The sequence below is a fragment of the Homo sapiens genome, chromosome 12 (genome assembly GCF_000001405.40).
Source record: "Homo sapiens chromosome 12, GRCh38.p14 Primary Assembly".
NCBI classification, from domain to species: Eukaryota; Metazoa; Chordata; class Mammalia; order Primates; family Hominidae; genus Homo; species Homo sapiens.
In genome coordinates, this window is record NC_000012.12 from 21,304,692 (window position 1) to 21,322,591 (window position 17,900).

The following is a 17,900-nucleotide window of genomic DNA, read 5'->3' on the forward strand; positions in this document are numbered from 1 at the left end:
TTATATTACTATTCCAGCAGTGACTTCTCAGGGCACCCCTAGTGCATTTTCTGACAGTGGACTTGAGTATGGACAAGTGTAAGTGATATGCTGGAGCCAGTCCCTACTGAGTTGGGAGAGATGAGTATACACACCTCCTCCCAACTCAGTGTTCAGTGACACCTCATTGGTAGTTTCATAGCAGTGTTACACCACAGAAATTGGCAAACATTAAAAATCAAAGAGATTCAGTTTCTCCACAACTCCTGGACTCATTCAGCTGCTACAAGTGCTTCCCCATTCCTACCCAACTTTGGGGAGACAAAAATATATTTCTCTAGAATTGGTACTATATTTATAAGATTTAAACAAAAGTTCGCTAAAGTGTGAATTCTCTACAGCTCTAATTATTTCATAGAAACTAAAAATATTTAATTGGGTAATCATCATAGGTTCTCTATAGAGCATGTTGTATACTGTAACCACCAAATAACTTTCAATACAGAAATCCACTCCAATCCTTGGAGCCGCAGCTGCTTAGTAGAGTAACAAAGACTAGACCAAAGGGAATAGAAACTGAGAAAGATAGGGAGATCTCTGAAGGATTCTGTAAATCTCTTTGCCATCTATGTTCTAAGCCAAAATAGCTGGTAAGCTGTGAGGAAGCTCTGTGGAGTCCCGTTTTCAGGGATCTGAAGGACAATGCACTCTCACCTCCTATAAATTTGCCAGGTGAGACTGTGAGGTCCTGACCACAGCTGGGTCCAGGAATTTCTTGTGAGTGCTATCTCTCCATTATTTCCAGTCGGAAAATAATAGTCTCTATTTCTAGGTATTCAGATTTGTTTGTGTGATGCACAAAGTGATTTGTGTCTAGAGATCACAGGCAAACTCTAGGCCTATTCTAGGGCAAAATTGAAAGCATCAATCCACCTTCCTGGAGATGTGCCAGAATGGGAAGGTTTTGCTATATCCACAATGAAGCCGACTAGCACCTGGGTCAGTCTTTGGCAATAGCCCGCTCAGGAAGAGAACACAGGCCACTATTAATGTCATTGTTTTCCTTTGTTTCCCCCATGGGGGTTCTTTGGCTTCTTCTGAGACAGACATTTTTCAAATTTTTGAAACTGTTTTGGTTTCCTGACTCAATGATGGTCATGAAATTCCCACCCTTGTGGACTACTGCAATTTCCACAAACATGAATCCAGAATAAAAATGTCCCCATAAAAATGTTGAGTCATCAGAGTCATCTCCAGACCAAGTATAACCAGAAGATTATACAAGTCTCTTAGCAGAAGGGACAGAAGGGGCAGAAGCCAGTACATTGGTGCCTAGGGCTACCAGAAGCTGAAAGAAGCACTGCTATTGTGTAGAATTTTAAAGCACTATCTCCAGTAGAGGGGGAAAAAAAAAGAGCAGAAAGACAAGTTCCTAAGTCAATAGAAAGGGAATAGAGTAATTCAGAACTATAGCGTACTTGCCTGTTTTCCCCGCTATTAAAGATCAGTGATAGAACACAAATCTCTTGAACTTTGTTTCTGTCTCTAGTTCCTATTTACATAATCATATACACCAAATCATCAGCATAAATCCATCCTTATAAGATGTTTTCCTCTGTGGGATGAACTTAACAGTGGTCCTTGGATAGATGTCTTTGACTCTTTTTTTTTTTGAGACAGAGTCTCACTCTGTTGCCCAGGCTGGAGTGCAATGGCGCAATCTTGGATCACTGCAACCTCTGCCACCTGGGTTTAAGCGATCCTCCAGCCTCGGCCTCCTGAGTAGCTGGGATTACAGGTGCCCGCTACCATGCTTGGCTAATTTTTGTATTTTTTAATAGAGGTGGGGTTTCACCATGTTGGCCAGGCTGGTCTCGAACTCCTGACCTCAGGTGATCCATCCGTCTCAGCCTCCCAAAGTGCTGGGATTACAGGCGTGAGCCACTGCACCCGGCCCTTTGACTCATTTTTAGATAACATGTTAATAAATAAACAAGGAACTCTCAATAAATACATTCAAATATAAGAAAAATAACATTCTTTATTATTAGCTATTCTTATTGCCCATTGTAACTCCTTTGGAAGTTCCTGGAGAGAGAACATATCTTTGTTTATTTATCTAACTCAATCAATATCTCATTCAAGCCCCTCAGCAGAAAGTGTTTAGTTATAAGTTCGCTGAACAAAAATCAATACAATGAAGTAGACAACCTGATGGATCCTGCGTTGGTCTTAAAATCTGGGTTCCATTTTCCATACACAAGAAACTGTTTGAGGACAAGTTGCCTGAAACTGAAACTGTAGATTCATATTCATATCTGTATAAACACAGGGAAAATGAGTTTATTTTAAGAAAGTAATGAGGACAATGTGGGCAATGTGCAGATTGTTACCTTCTGCTTCCCATACAACACAATATCCAAATCCAGTAAAAATGGCTTTTCATCCTTGGCATCCAAGTTATCATAAGTTAATATCATCAAAAAACTTGCCACTTTCTGTAAATGAACAATCTTTTTATACTTAGCTTTCAATAATCTGCCTGTGGATGATCTACCTTTAGATTATCAAATATCAACTTTCTTTGATTTTTAGGTTATCATTTCCTGGATATAATTATTATGAGATAAGGAACACAAACTTTAAAAAATGTGACATTCAATAATGCATAATTAAGAAGATAAATGCTTTGGAAGGAATAACAACAAAACAAGCCTTCAACTTGGCATTCTCTAAAGTTTGCTCAAAAGAAGCGAAACCTCCAGTTTCTGAGAAACCGTACAATAACTCCTCCATGCGTTTCATAAACCCCTAAAAAAACCAAAATATTTGTCCATCATAATGAGAGGCCTTAAGAGAATCTCAATCACCATGACACATAATGTAATGACTTTTTCTCTTCTCATAAGAACAAATGGATTAATAAACTATGACCATTTAATTTAAGCAAATTACCACAAGATCCACATGCTTTTCCTCAGAAAGTAAATTACATGCCGTAAGATGGGAAAAAAAGTATGTTCAAAGTATGTTCAGTGAAGTCTCTGTTTGTTAGAAATAATGCTGGATTGTTTTCTGTATTTCTATTAAATAAGGTAGTCAGAAGAAAACTTGCCCTTCTGAGTTCTACAAAAGCTAGAGTGTTATGCTTGGATGCCACTGATAGTCTTAATTTCTGTGCTATAGGATATAATAAAAAGGCTCAAAATACCTTCCCCTTAGAACAATTGCTCATTGATGCCCAAAGAGTTTGGCTGTGAACTATAGACAAAGGCTTCTGTCTCCATACTCACAATCCTATGAGACATGACAACCTCAAGGAAATAACACCTTTGGCAGGTGGTAGAAAGAAATGTATACAGTGGCTGAATATTACTTGACATTGTTTTGGATAGGCTAGGAAATAAAAGAAAAGGAAAGACTCTGCTTAGAAACTCTGATCCCTTCAAAAATACTTTAAAAGAGAAAATATGTTTTGTTAATTTATCCACTAAAAATCCAGTAACTCAAAGTCTATTCATTCCCAAAGCATCAGCAAAATGACGGTAAATAGATTTTCAAACAGAATGGGGAAAGGCATGATTCCACAAGGATAAAAAAAATAGGGAATTTTACAATAAAAGAGAGCTCAACAAGATTTTCAAAATGGAAAAGCAGGTAACTGAGTGGTCACTGAAATAAAAGATATGAGAAGTGCAACTCTAAGTGCCTGCAAGGAAGCAATGCTGCAAAGCCCAGGAACATTCAGGCAAGATACTTAAATGCAAAAGTGAGTATGATCCAAAACAATAAGAGTGCAAACATTTTGGTTTAAAGTTTGTTTAAGAAACATTCAACTCCCAGAGACATCCCCTGCCACTCCAGCTGAAAATGTTCATTGACTCCAGAGTCTGGAGAGGCACACTGAGCATAGAAAGGCAATACAAAAAAAATGGGGGTATTAAGTTAAAAAAATCTACATATCTACATATTAAACAGTGAGATTCCAACTTCCATTTGGCTGGTAGCTAAGCTTCTACCTCCCAAGGAACAGATTGAAGAATTCCTGTCTAGGATAACAGGTTATCTGCAATTCTGAGCCATGTGCGAAACAGCCAGTCCCTGCGTAATGACTCTACAAAGAAGTCCTCCTTTAACCAAGTCCTACACATATTTACAGAACTTCCAGCTGGCTTCTTGTTGTTGTTATTCCTCCCTCTTAAATGTGAATAGATAACAAACAACCACCAGATATATGAGAGAAGTCTGTAACAGTAAAGACAGTTACAAACAAATAAAAAAACGGTACACTTGGAGGAGCCAGAGACCAAGAAGAAAGATGAACAAAATTTAGATGGGAAGAGATAATGCATTCTTGAAAGAATAGTATGTTCCTTAAAAAGGGACATTCAAAGAATAAGAGCCCTTGAAAATTAAAAATGTGGTAGCATAAGCTAGAAAGCCATTCAAAGGCATGGAAAATAAAGTTAAATCTCCCAGAAAGTAACAAGAAGACAAGAGGACAAAAAAGTAGGGATAAAAGATGAGAAAAACATAAGGTTAATACAGGATGTCCAATATTCAAGTAATAGAGATCTAGAAAGAGAAAACAGTGTTATGAAAGAAGGTATAGGGGAGATATTATCAAAGAAATAACAAAAGTAACTTTTCCAAATGTCCAGATTGAAGGCTCCTGGCACAATGGAGGAGACAGATTTATACCAAGACAATTATCATGAATTTTGGACTTGGAGCTTAAAAGAAAATTCCAATAGTTTCCACTGAAAGAAAACTGATCACAGAGATTAGAACGGCATAGGATTCTGAATAATAACACTTGATTACAAGTGTTAGATAGAGCTAGAAAACATTGGGGGAAATGTCTTCAAAATCCCTAGGGAAAATATTTCCAATCTAGAATTTTATCCAAGCCAAAGTAACAATCAAATATGGGAGTAAAATAGGAGTATTTTCAGATATACAAAGTCTTACATTTTATATTTCTCTTGTATACTTTCTTGGAAAGCTACTAGATTATTTCCTTCACAAAAACAAGTGAAGAGGAAAGAGGAAAGCAGGAGACATGACATCCCAGAAAATGAATAACTGAATGTATGAAACAGGTAAAAAGCAAATTCTCAAGGATAATAATGAGAGAAAATTCCAAGGAAATAGCAATGCAGCAGGCCTAGAGAATTCCAAGTTCAGATTGCAGATGGAGAATTGAAAGTGATATGTGAGGAATCTCCAAGACAAAAATAATACACTGTGATATGGATAAGAATATTGAGGAGACATTTGCCCTACCAGTGGAGAATTTGGTGATGAATTCGTGAACAATACAAAGAAAGCTAACCATATGATATAACGAGGTAATTATTAAATCTAGGGAAAATAAAAAGTTATATAAGTAAAGAATGATAAGCGCATGGTTCAGTGGTAAAAAAGATTTACATAATTATACAAATGTAAATAGTAAAAATGATTTTATAGTAGGAATTCAATACATATTGTGTAACACTAATGTATAGACATATCTCAGAGACATTGCACGTTTGGTTCCAGATTGCCACAATAAAGTGAATAACACAATAAAGCAACTCACATGAATTTTTTTAATTTTCTAATGCATATAAAAGTTATGTTTGCACTATATTGTAGCCTATTAAGTGTGCAATAGCATTATGTCTGAAACACAATGTACACACAGTAATTGAAAATGTTTTATTGCTAAAAGATGCTAACAATCATCTGAGCCTTCAGCGAGTCATCATCTTCTGCTGGTAGAGGCTTTAGCCTCCACGCTGATGGCTGCTGGCTGATCAGGGTAGCGGCTGCTGAAGGTTGTGGGGGCTGTGGAAATTTCTTAAAATAAGACAGTGATGAAGTTTCCTGTGGCAATTGACTCTTCCTTTCACAAAAGTTTTTTCTGTAGCACATAATGCTGTTGTGTTGTTGTTGTTTGTTTTTGAGACGGAGTCTCGCTATGTCGCCCAGGCTGGAGTGCAAGTGGCACGATCTCGGCGCACTGCAAGCTCTGCCTCCCGGGTTCACGCCATTCTCCTGCCTCAGCCTCCTGAGTAGCTGGGACTACAGGTGCCAACCACCACGCCTGGCTCATTTTTTTGTGTTTTTAGTAGAGACGGGGTTTCACCGTGTTAGCCAGGATGGTCTTGATCTCCTGACCTCGTGATCCGCCCGCCTTGGCCTTTCAAAGTGCTAGGATTATAGGCGTGAGCCACCGCGCCCAGCCGCACATAATGCTGTTTGATAGCATTTTACCCACAGTAGAACTTCTTCCAAAATTGGAGTCAATCCTTGCAAGCCCTACTGCTGCCTTATCACCTAACTTTGTGTAATGTTCTAAAACATTAGTTGTCATTTCAACAGTTTTCACAGGCTCTTCATCAGTAGTAGATTCCATCACAGGAAGCCACATTATTTGCTTGTCCATAAACAGAAAGTCTTCATTTATTCAAGTTTTATTATGAGATTGCAGCAATTAAGTCACATCTTCAGGTTCCATCTTAAATTCTAGTTCTCTTTCTCTTTCCACATCTGCAGTGACTTCCTCCACTAAAGTCTTGTGACTTTGTTCACTGAAATCTTGAACCCCTCAGGGTTATCTAAGAGGATTTGAGTCAACTTTTCAAAATTCCTGTTAATGTTGAGATTTTGCCCTCCTCTCCTTTTCCTAGTGGAATGTAGAATAGTGAATTCTTTCGAGAAGGTTTTCAATTTATGTTACTTAGATCCATCAGAAGAATCACTATTTATAACAGCAATATCCTTACAAACTGTGTGTCTTACATAATAAGACTTGAAAGTCCAAGTTACTCCTGATTTGTGGCCACACAATGGATGTTGTGTTAGCAGGCATGAAAACAACATTCATCTCCATGTACATCTCCATCAGAGCTCCTGGGCAACTAGATGCATTGTCAATTAGCAGTAATATTTTGAAAAGACTTCTCCTCCCTATCTCTGAAAGTCCGAGATGGCATCTTCTTTCAAAAGAAGGCTGTTTCCACTTCGGGAGGCCGAGGCAGACAGATCACCTGAGGTCTGAAGTTTGAGACCAGCCTGACCAACATGGTGAAACTCCGTCACTACAAAAAATACAAAAATTAACTGGGCGTGGTGGTAGGTGCCTGTGATCCCAGCTACTTGGGAGGCTGAGGCAGGAGAATTGCTTCAACCCAGGAGTCAAAGGTTGCAGTGAGCTGAGATCACGCCACTGCACTCGAGCCTGAGCAACAGCATGAGACTCCATCTCAAAAAGAAGAAAGAAGAAGGAGAGGGAGAATGAGAAGGAGAAGAAGAAGGAGGAGGAGGAGGAAGAGGAGGAGGAGGAGAAGAAGAGGAGGAGGGAGGAGGAGAAGAAGAAGAGGAAGAAGAAGAGGAGGAGAAGAAGAAGAGGAAGAAGAAGAGGAGGAGGAGGAAGGAGAAGAAGAAGAAGGCTGTTTCATCCACATTGAAAATCTGTTATTTAGTGTAGCCACCTTCATCAATTAACTTAGCTAGATCTTCTGGATAACTTGCTGCAGCTTCTCCATCAGCACTTGCTGCTTCACCTTGCACTTTTATGTTATAAAGACAGCTTCTTTCCTTAAACCTCATGAACCCACCTCTCTTGGCTTAAAAATTTCCTTCTGCAGCTTCCTAATCTCTCTTAACTTTCGTAGAATAGAAGAGAGAGTCTTGCTCTTCTGGCTCAAGGGAATGTTGTGGCTGGCTTAATCTTCTGTTCAGACTACTCAAACTTTCTCCATCTCAGCAATAACACTGTTTCACTTTCTAATCATTTGTGTCTTCCTTGAAATAGCACTTTTTCCTTGTGTTCACAGCTTGGCTATTTGGTGCAAGTGGCTTAGCTTTGGGCCTATTCTGAATTTCAACTTGCCCTCCTCGCTGAGCTTAATGATTTCTAGCTTTTGATTTAAAGTGAGAAATGTGCAACTCTTTCTTTCACTTCAACACCTGAAGGCCACAATAGGGTTATTATAATAATTGGCCTAATTTCAATATTTTTGTATCTAGGGGAATAAGGGGGCCCAAGGAAAGGGCAAAAAATGGGGCAATGGCTGGTCAGTGGAGCAGTCAGAACACACACAACATTTGTTGATTACATTCACCATCTTAAGACCAGCACGGTGGCTCACACCTGTAATCCCAACATTTTGAGAGTCTGAGGCAGGCGCATTGCTTGAACCCAGGAGTTCAGGACCAGCCAGGGCAATATGGTGAAATCCTGTCTCTACCAAAAAAATATATATATATACAAAAATTAGCCAGGCATAGTGGCACATGCCTGTAGTTTCAGCCACTGGAGAGGCTGAAGTGAGAGGATCACCTGAGCCTGTGGAGGTCAAAGCTACAGTGAGTGAGATCGCACCACTACACCCCACCTTGGGCGTCACTGTATCTCTAAAAAGAAATACATAAATAAATAAATCACCATCTTAAATGGGCATAAGTTAGTGGCACATCAAAACAATTACATTAGTAATATCAATGATCACTAATCACAGATCGCCATAACAGATACAAAAATAATGCAAAAGTTTGAAATATTGCAATAATTATCAAATATGACCCAGACACAAAGTGAGCACATGCTGTTGGAAAAATGATTCTAATCTTCAACGTAGGGTTGCAATAAACCTTCAATTTGTGAGAAATGTAATATCTGCAAAGTGCAATAAAGTGAAATGCAGTAAAGCAGGGTATGCCAGGATTCAAAACTAATAGAATAACATTTAGTTAGAAATACAGAGGCAAGGCTTGGCCAGGTGGCTCATGCCTGTAATCCCGCACTTTGAGAGGCCGAGGTGGGCGGATTGCTTGAACCCAGGGGTTCCAGACCAGCCTGGCCAACTTGGGGAAACCCCATCTCTACTAAAAATACAAAAATTAACTGAGTGTAGTGGCATGCACCTATAATCCCAGCTACTCGGGAGGCTGAGGCAGGAGAATCACTTGACCCAGGAGGCAGAGGTTTCAGTGAACCGGGAGATGGCGCCACTGCACTCCAGCCTGGGCGACAGAGTGAGTGAGACTGTCTCAACAAAAATAAAAACAGAGGCCGAGGCGGGCGGGTCACGAGGTTAGGAGATCGAGACCATCCTGGCTAACACAGTGAAACCCCGTCTCTACTAAAAATGCAAAAAATTAGCCAGGCATGGTACCTGTAGTCCCAGCTACTCAGGAGGCTTGAGACAGGAGAGTTGCTTGAACCTGGGAGGTGGAGGTTGCAGTGACCCGAGATCACACCACTGCACTCCAGCCTAGGTGACAGAGCAAGACTGTCTCAAAAAAATAATAATAAATAATAAAAAAAAAAAACAGAAAAAAAAGAAAGAAATTGGTGGCAAATACAAGAAAGAGCTAAAAGTTATAAGCACTTGCCTCTGGAAAGCAGTAATAAGTGACAAGGGAGACCTTTTTGTCAATGTAAGCTTTTTTGTAATAGTTTTTATTTTTATGACTTTGTACATAGTTACTTTGGTAAAAATTAAAAGAAAAATCAGCCTTCAGACTGCTCTGTCTCTTGGTGATCTGCAATTAAGCAGAATCTCATTATTAATTAGAAGTATTTACATGGTCCTGAGAAGGGAATAATCCCAAGTTTCGGCTGGTCCTGAGAATCTTTTCACCAGACTCAACTCCACAAGAAAAGGTCCCAAATCCCCATTGTGTAAATTGACAAAACTGACTGCTTAAGTGGAAGTGAGGCAGCCAAGAGCACCAAATAGACAGATGGAACAGAATGTGCATCTTCCCCTTCCCATTACAGTGCCCTATGCTGTTGGAAAGCATTGCTCCTAGAGAGGAAAGTGCAACTTCATTTCCTGCAAGTGAAATTTGACCACCCAAAATTATCAGACTGGAGTACTTACTGGTTCATGAGGAAATGAGGTAGTGATTTTAAGAAACAGCCTAAGCCCATAACCACACATCCAATGCCAATCATTATAGGTCTATGCAGTTTGGTTCCAAAATAACTCACAAATATAATCAACAAAAGATTTCCTAGGAAAAAATTGAGAATAATCATTTTAAAAAGTATGAACAAAGTCTTAATTAAGAGCCTCACCCAATCATTTACATTCTAGCATTTACTGCATAACAACTATCTTAAATACTTGGATTTGTGCTAGGGTTGCATTAAATAATAAATGAATATAACACAATCCCTGCCCCGAAGAAGGGTTCTGTTTTGCAATGTAGACAGATACAGAAACAGATATCTCTGAAACACCAACATTTACAGAGGGGAGAAGAAGAGAAGCCGGTGAAAGGGACTAAAGAATGGTTCTGGGAAATTTGGAAGGCTCTATTTGTGACTATCTAGACTTGGGAAATGAGGTTCAAAAGAAGGTGTCAGCCTGCATGTGACCTCTGGCCTCTCTCTCAATGCCTACTCCACAGAACATTATCATGTTTTCCTATGCCCAGAAAGAGAAGCAAAAGTCAAATTTAGGTAGCTGAATGTTTTGTAACTCATTGTTTAAAAATATCTTCATTTTGGTCAACATGACCAAGACAGGGATCTATTTTTTTTCTACTTCTTTCCCTAGATCAGACAATGCAGTGAAGTAAAAATTAGTAGACCCCCACTTCTACTCAGTCTTCAGTGAGTCTGGATTTGAGGAATAAAAATGGCAATGAAAAATGTATCCGCATGTCTTAGGACGAAGCTTTAGAATAAAGAAACTAATGGGGGAAGGCCCATCTGATGGACAGATCCTTGAAGAGTGTGGAATAAAGATTTGAAAAAAACAAATATACGAATAAGTTTTTTGCAAACCATACATTTTTAATTCAGTAAATAATATCTACCTTGCCCCCACTATATATAAAGAATGCCTCTGCAATGACTCAAGATTATAAAAATTTCAAAATTTTTTTTCCTCAAGGAGTTAATAATTTTCTAAGTGGTGTATATTTTGAAAAGTTTTCTTTCCACCTGTATTTTTCTCTAGTCTGCCTTGTGTGTAGAAGATATGTCCATTTGTCCATTATTTTATATGGAGAGCGCCCCACCGCAATAACTATATCAGCCACATTGACCTCTCTAGTTTTCTAAAATCTCATCACCAAGCCCATCCGTGTTACAGGTAGTGTCTCCAGAGGCCATTGTTTGAAATCCATATCTGTTTTTTGAAAGGAGAAGAAAGGAAGAACTTTCCTTCTTCACGTAAGAGTGAGTTCATGTTTTAAACTGCCTTGCTCTGTCAGGAAATAATTGCAATGAGAAAGCATGGGAAAAGGTAAGTAATTTTTTTCAAAGGTATGGAGAATGTTGCCTGTAAAACTGACTGGGGAAATATAAGCTAAGTGATATGTTTATTGCCTTTTGTAAATTTCACACTATTTCTAATCATCATTCTCCTCAAGCTACCTATCACCACCCACTAGTGGTAGAAATTGTTAATATATTCTACTTTATCAAGAAATTTGGGGCAATCAAACATGAAGGCATTTGAGTTTTCCACCTGATGGCCTTACCACGTTCCTTCAGTTTGAGAAGTTGTGGTGCCCATCTGACCACCCAACACTAAACACATCACCAGGGCACTGCCATTTTCTTCAGCCACTTACTCTAGTAATTAAAATCTCTCATATGTATTTTAAGCCTCTCTCTCTCAACTAGACTTTAGCCTACACATATTCTCTAGTTTCTCTCCAAACTTCCCAGAACATTCATCCATATTCATAGATTCCGCTTTTCCCCCCTCCCTAATCCCCTATCGTCGCTCCTACCTTCACTGCTTCCTAGCGTCTAAATTTGTTAGTGCCCTGGCAAAGATCATCAGTTATCTCCATATTATGAAACCCAGGGAATAGTTCTTCATCCTTGTCTAACTGGATATTTCTAATGCTTTTCACACTGCTGATACTTTTTTTTTTTTTCAAATTTCTACTCCTTTGTTTTTCATAATACCATTTTCTCCTAGTTCCCCCTCTTGTTTCTCTGACCATTCCTTCTCTTAACATAGACTCCTTTTCTTCTACCTGTGCCTTAAATGTTTGTGCAGCTCAAGATCTATTCTTTGTCCATTGTAATTATCACCCTATATCCTCTCCCTGAATAACCTCATAAATTCTCTCTCTAGTTTTAGCAAACGCCTACTTACTTGCTAATCAATAGCTCCAGCCCAGATAGTTCCCCAGTGCTTCAGACTCACATGACTGCAATGTGAACATATAACTTTGTCACCAATTGTCACCAATAGAAGTTACAGATATGTTCAGATGACAATATGGCTGTTGCAAACAATTCAAAACATTGACACAATAATTACTTTAAAATTAGTAACTTTTTAATTTAATGGGTTGATTAAAAGTACAAATATTACTATATAAAAATTTGTTTTAATATTTTGATAATTCTACTTCAATATAATTGGCTTCCTTTGCACCCATATAGTTTTTTTTATGCAATTAAAATTATTACTCCGGGATCATATGGTGTTAGAATGCTAAAAGGGTCCTGGGCACAGAAAGGTTAATAATCCCTTCCAATCCTCAGTGACACTCCCTCACCTAGAAAATTAAAAAGTAAATGCCATAGCAGGCACACAAAGCTCTCATTAACCCATTTCTCACCCCTGCCCATTTCTGCAGGCTCACATTCCTAATCCTTTCCAACTTTATCTTGGCTAGCCAATATTATCAAGCTGAATGTTGCTTCTCACATAGGCTATTGCACTGCATCCTTCTTAGGCTTTTTCTACTGGAATTTTCTTCACACTTGCTTAACCTCATTTCTTCTCCTAGAAAATTTTAGCTATCCTCCGAGAGTCTGGCTTCCCTAAATGAGTCTGTGTTTCTTCTGTCCCTGTAAGACCTTGTATATATCTATGCTACCAAACTTACTTCATTCAATTAATACTATTATTATCTGCATCTCTACCTTCCGTTAGATTATGAGCTGAGTCAATTCGTGGGCTATACATGGAGTTAGTTCTAACTCTCTCACTGGGATCAGCACACAGGTGATACAGGCTAAGATCTAAAGGAGTTGAACACTAGTAGACAAGATCAAGAATCACTTGTTTCAGTTTTGCTTCTCCTCAATCCTGATTTTTTAAATACATTTATATTAAAGGAAATTATCACCTTGAAGAAAGTGGAAGCTATTATAAAACTAGAAAGGAGTGACACTTATATTTCTATATAACTTTTTTCATGGAAGAAATCTTCCTTTCCCCCATTCTCCCTCTCTATGGTCACATATTCCCAGTCATCCACAAAAATCAGAATCTATGAGTAGACTTTATTTTTCTCTAGAGGCTGCCTCTGAAATGAATTCAGAGAGCTATAAAAGCAGTCTTTTCTTCTCTCTGTACTTAGAAAAAAAAATTGTCAACCTCCCAGACCAAATAGCAGAAAAATATTTGCATTTTCATTTGTAAGGCAATTTCCTTGATCTCCAACAATATCTTCTACATCTTCTAGGTCTTCTACCTTTTCTTTTTTTTTTTTGAGATGGAGTCTCACTCTCACCCAGGCTGGAGTGCAGTGGCAATCTCAGCTCACTGCAAGCTCCGCCTCTCGGGTTCACACCATTCTCCTGCTTCAGCCTCCCAAGTAGCTGGGACTACAGGCGCCCGCCACCATACCCGGCCAATTTGTTTGTATTTCTAGCAGAGACGGGGTTTCACCATGTTAGCCAGGATGGTCTCGATCTCCTGACCTCGTGATCCACCCATCTCCGCCTCCCAAAGTGCTGGGAGTACAGGCATGAGCCACCTCGCCCGGCGGTCTTCTACCTTTGTATCTTCTAAATACAAAGATGGAACCCTTAGTATCCCTTAGGGTTATCAAATGATATTTAAATATAAATACTGTAAATACTCTGCTACTCATGCTACATAACTAAGAAACTATTAGAATAAAAAGAACAATGGTAGGATATGTGGCAATATTTAGGTGTTAATATGAGGTAATATTTAAATGAATTATTTCCAAGCATATTCTAAGCTTAGCTAATCAGTTAGTTTTAGAAAACTTATAACTCGGTCAGATTAAATGACCTAAAACAGCAAATAAGGAGAATAAAATTCAGACTAGCTCCACAGATAAGACAAAATACAAAAAGAAGAAATGCAAAAATAATTCATTACCAATCTCAAAGCTTCCATTAATGAATCCAACTAGAGATGTTGGGATGTTGAATTGTCTCTCTATTTGTGTGAGCATGGAATTCATATAAGATCCAGACAGTGTTTTGGATACAAATGCACATGTTATTGCCAACAGAAACATCTAGGAAAAAAATATAAGAAAACGTAGAAAAAATTATTTTTAAATTGTATACTTGCCGTCTGTTGACAAAATGCCTTCCACCATAAGACTGATTGTCTCCAACTTAAGTAACCTTTGAATTTGCAAGAAACTGTAAAGTGTAGTCTGCTCCTTTTGTCTGTCATACTGTGATTTCTCTCTGAAAACTCAAAGTGAGACTAATTTTGTAGGCAGTTGCAGCCTCAATATTGTATAACATACTGGTACATACATAGAAACAAACAGTCATTCTAAGTAATACATAGCTGATAACTTAAACATGTCTTCAGAGCTACAATGATATCTAAAGTACAAAAGAATTCATACATGTACTGTAATGAAAAGAAAGAATGCAGAATTATACAAAGACATTATTTCGGTAGCAAATATACTTAAGTTCTCTCTGCAGGACAATAGGTCCCCAGATTACCTTGGCCGACTCCACTCTTTCCTGTTCTTGCTTGCAATTCTTGGTCAGAAACATTCTGCATTCTCAGCAATGAGGGAAATATCCAGAACAATCTGAGTTATGTCCTCATTCTTCCCATAGTAGGATGCTCTGCAACCCTTGAGCTCAGCAATCCCAGTTGTGTCTAAGGCATATAAGCCCAGGACAGAGTATTTTCAGGGTTTCTCAGCTGCAGTGTAAATGGAGGACCACACAAAAATGAGACTCCATTTATTTTGGGAAGCTTTCCTGAACCTTGGAGAATCAGCTCACCTGGACCATTGGCTTCTGTTTATCCTTACTGCTTGCCTAATATATATACTATAAATTTCCATAGGTTTTATCAATCATACTTCCTATTATTGGTATAGTTCCAGGAAACAGTGAGGTTGATGCAATCCATAACAACATCAGGGATGAGTTCACAGATAGAACCACTGTGATCACCAGGAGCTACTATGGTTTTACTGAAAATATGAAAAGTTAAAATTCATATTTTAAAATTAAATTTAAAAAGATAGCTTTTAGTAAGAGGTTTTAAAACAGGAGCACTGTATACTGGTAATAGTATAGTTAGGTAGATTAATTACTGCTTCAAAATGAACAAATTATAGATAGATTTACATCAACTTGAATGGTGGTCTTCAGTCACATGCCATAGAGATTTTTGCTTGGTCCTATTGAAGACAGTTTCTGATGACACTTGCAACCTGGGAGACCATTTGACCTACTATTTACCTAGCACACTCAAATTCTTAAAATTCTCACACCTTCCACCTTCCACACCTCCAGTCTTGAGCCAATCACACAACTTATTTTCTACCTCACATATTCCTTTCAAGTTAACTCACAACCTTTTCTGTTTCTCAGTCTCCAACCCAGCCACATTCTCTCTCTTCATGATCAGCAAATGATATCAGCAACTTCACCTGCAAACTTACCTCTATCCCTACCTTCTCTAATTTGCCTATGTCTTTAGAAAGATTGGTGTCCCTTTCCTGTACATAAAATCCCTCCAATCTTGCTCTTGAATCCATTCTTCCCATTTTCGAGATTCTAATTCATCCGTTATTGCTCTTTTCTCTCTCTCTCTTTTTTGTTTTGTTTTGTGTTGTTTTGTTTTGTTTGAGACAGAGTCTTACTCTGTCACCCAGGCTGGAGTGCAGTGGCATAATCTTGGCTCACTGCAACCTCCACCTCCTGGGTTCAAGCAATTTTCCCACCTCAGGCTCCCAAGTAGCTGGGGCTACAAGTGTGTACCACCATGACCGGTTAGCTTTTGTATTTTTAGTACAGACGGGGTTTCACCATGTTGGCCAGGCTGGTCTCGAACTCCTGACCTCAGGTGATCCGCCCACCTTGGCCTCCCAAAGTACTGGAATTAAAAGCATGAGCCACCATGCCCAGGCTTTTCTCTCTATTTTCAACCTCACACCCTTTATTGCTTGTTTCCCCACTAGCTTATTAATATATCCAAGGCATTTCTTGCCTTTTGAGAAAAAAACAAAATGAAACAAAACAAAACACCTTCCCTCAGCCTTGATGGTTAGCTACTCTAGCTACCACAAAGCTGTTTAGAAGAATGGTCTAGACTCTAGACTGTTTAACCTTCCATCCACCCTATAGTCTGCTACAGGCTGGTGTTTCTTGAAACTACCTCCATAAAAGGTCATAAACAACTTCCTGATTCCCAAATATCCCAAATCCACAAGCTATGTCTGAATTACCATCTTACTTCGTGACTCTCAGTCATTTGATACTATTGATCTCTCTTTTCTTCCTGAAATTCCCTCCCCCATGCATACCTATATCTCTGACTAACTGCTCGATTCTTTCTCTCTTCTTTGGTCAACCCTTTCAGGCCTCTGTCTTGTACTCCCTACCCTTTTGCTATGCATGCTGTCTTTAGGAAGTTCATGCTCATCCATGCTTTTAACTACCACACGTATGATGAAACCTCTCATATGTATGAACAGTTTAGCTCAGACAATTGAAATCCTGTTTACTCTCCTCTAGCCTTGTCTACCTCCAACCTCTCTTTCACACGCCACCTCCACTAATTTGGATCATAATTTTTTGTCAAATAAATTAATAAAATACATAGTTAGCAAATTTTACTTCTTAAAACTTTTCAGTAATTCCCATAAACAAAAATCTCTGATTTTTAAGATGGTAAACAAAGCCTCATCTGTATTTCAGTATCATCTCCTGTTGCTTGTCCTTAGACACAGTGTTCTACATGTAGCTGTGTTAATTAACCCTGCCATTTTATAGGTCAGTGCTTTTGTATAATATTCCTCCAGTTTTAATGCCTTTCTTCCCTTTGTTCACCTGGTCAATATATAATTCATTCTCAAGACTCAGGTATTTTATTACTTCCATTGTGAGGCCTCTTTTGCCTCTGTGCTCCCCAGGTAAGCCCTAACCATTCATTCATTCTTTATCTTCCCACCCTACTGTGTGCCTAACTTGATTACAACCTCTATTACAGTGTACTTTATTTATGGATTTAGATGTCTATAAGTTCCTCTCTCATTATTCTGAGAGCAAGTCAGATACAGGAGCCATATGTTATTTACCCCTGTGGCCCTGGTGCCTACTAAGTGCCTGACAAATAGCAGGCACCCAATACAAGTTTATTGAATTAATGACAGAATAAGTATCAAAAACATCTTGAAGAAATCAGAGCTGAAAGTAAAATAAAATCAAATAAGATTAAATATACTGTTTTCATCCATCTGGGCTGCTACAACAAAATACCCTAAGCCGAGTGGCTTATAAACAACAGAAATGTAATTCTCATAGTTCCAAAGACTGGAAAGTCCAAGAGCAAGGCACTAACAAATTTGGGTTGGCTGATGCCTGTGAACCCAAAAGTATCTGAGACAGTTCTCAATCAATTTAGAAAGTTTATTTTGCCAGGGTTAAGGATGTGGCCATAACACAGCCTCAGGAGGTCCTGACAACATGTGCCCAAGATGGTCAGGGCACAGCTTGCTTTTATACATTTTAGAGAGACATAATACGTCAGTCAGTACATGTAAGATTTACATTGGTTTAATCTGGAAGGGCAGGACAACCCGAAGCAGGGGGTTCCCAGTCATAGGTAGTTTTAAAGTTTTAAAATGTGCTGATTGGCAATTGGTTGGAAGAGTTATTATCAATAGAAAATAATATCTGGGTTATAATAAGGGCTTGTGGG

General features: G+C 38.7%; 1 protein-coding gene across 42 annotated transcripts in view; it reads right to left on the minus strand.

Moving 5' to 3' along the window:
• SLCO1A2 (solute carrier organic anion transporter family member 1A2) overlaps positions 1-17,900 on the minus strand; it is a 155,035-nt gene that overhangs the window by 40,092 nt on the left and 97,043 nt on the right. For 18 of the 42 annotated variants that reach the window (NR_170340.1, NR_170343.1, NM_001386881.1 and 15 more), the window contains 3 exons: positions 14,091-14,232; positions 9,858-9,990; positions 2,191-2,297 (listed from right to left, as the gene is read on the minus strand). The exons of 1 other annotated variant lie outside the window; for it this stretch is intronic. Coding sequence is in view for 33 of the 41 variants with exons in the window: in NM_001386881.1 (NP_001373810.1) it covers positions 2,191-2,297; positions 9,858-9,990; positions 14,091-14,232 (382 nt within the window). In the remaining 8 variants the exon portion in view is untranslated. Of the gene's footprint in view, positions 1-2,190; positions 2,298-9,857; positions 9,991-12,098; positions 12,154-14,090; positions 14,233-14,680; positions 14,889-14,971; positions 15,166-17,900 lie in introns of all 42 variants that reach the window. 23 more of the 42 variants (NM_001386937.1, NM_001386939.1, NM_001386940.1 and 20 more) reach the window with 14 other exon arrangements.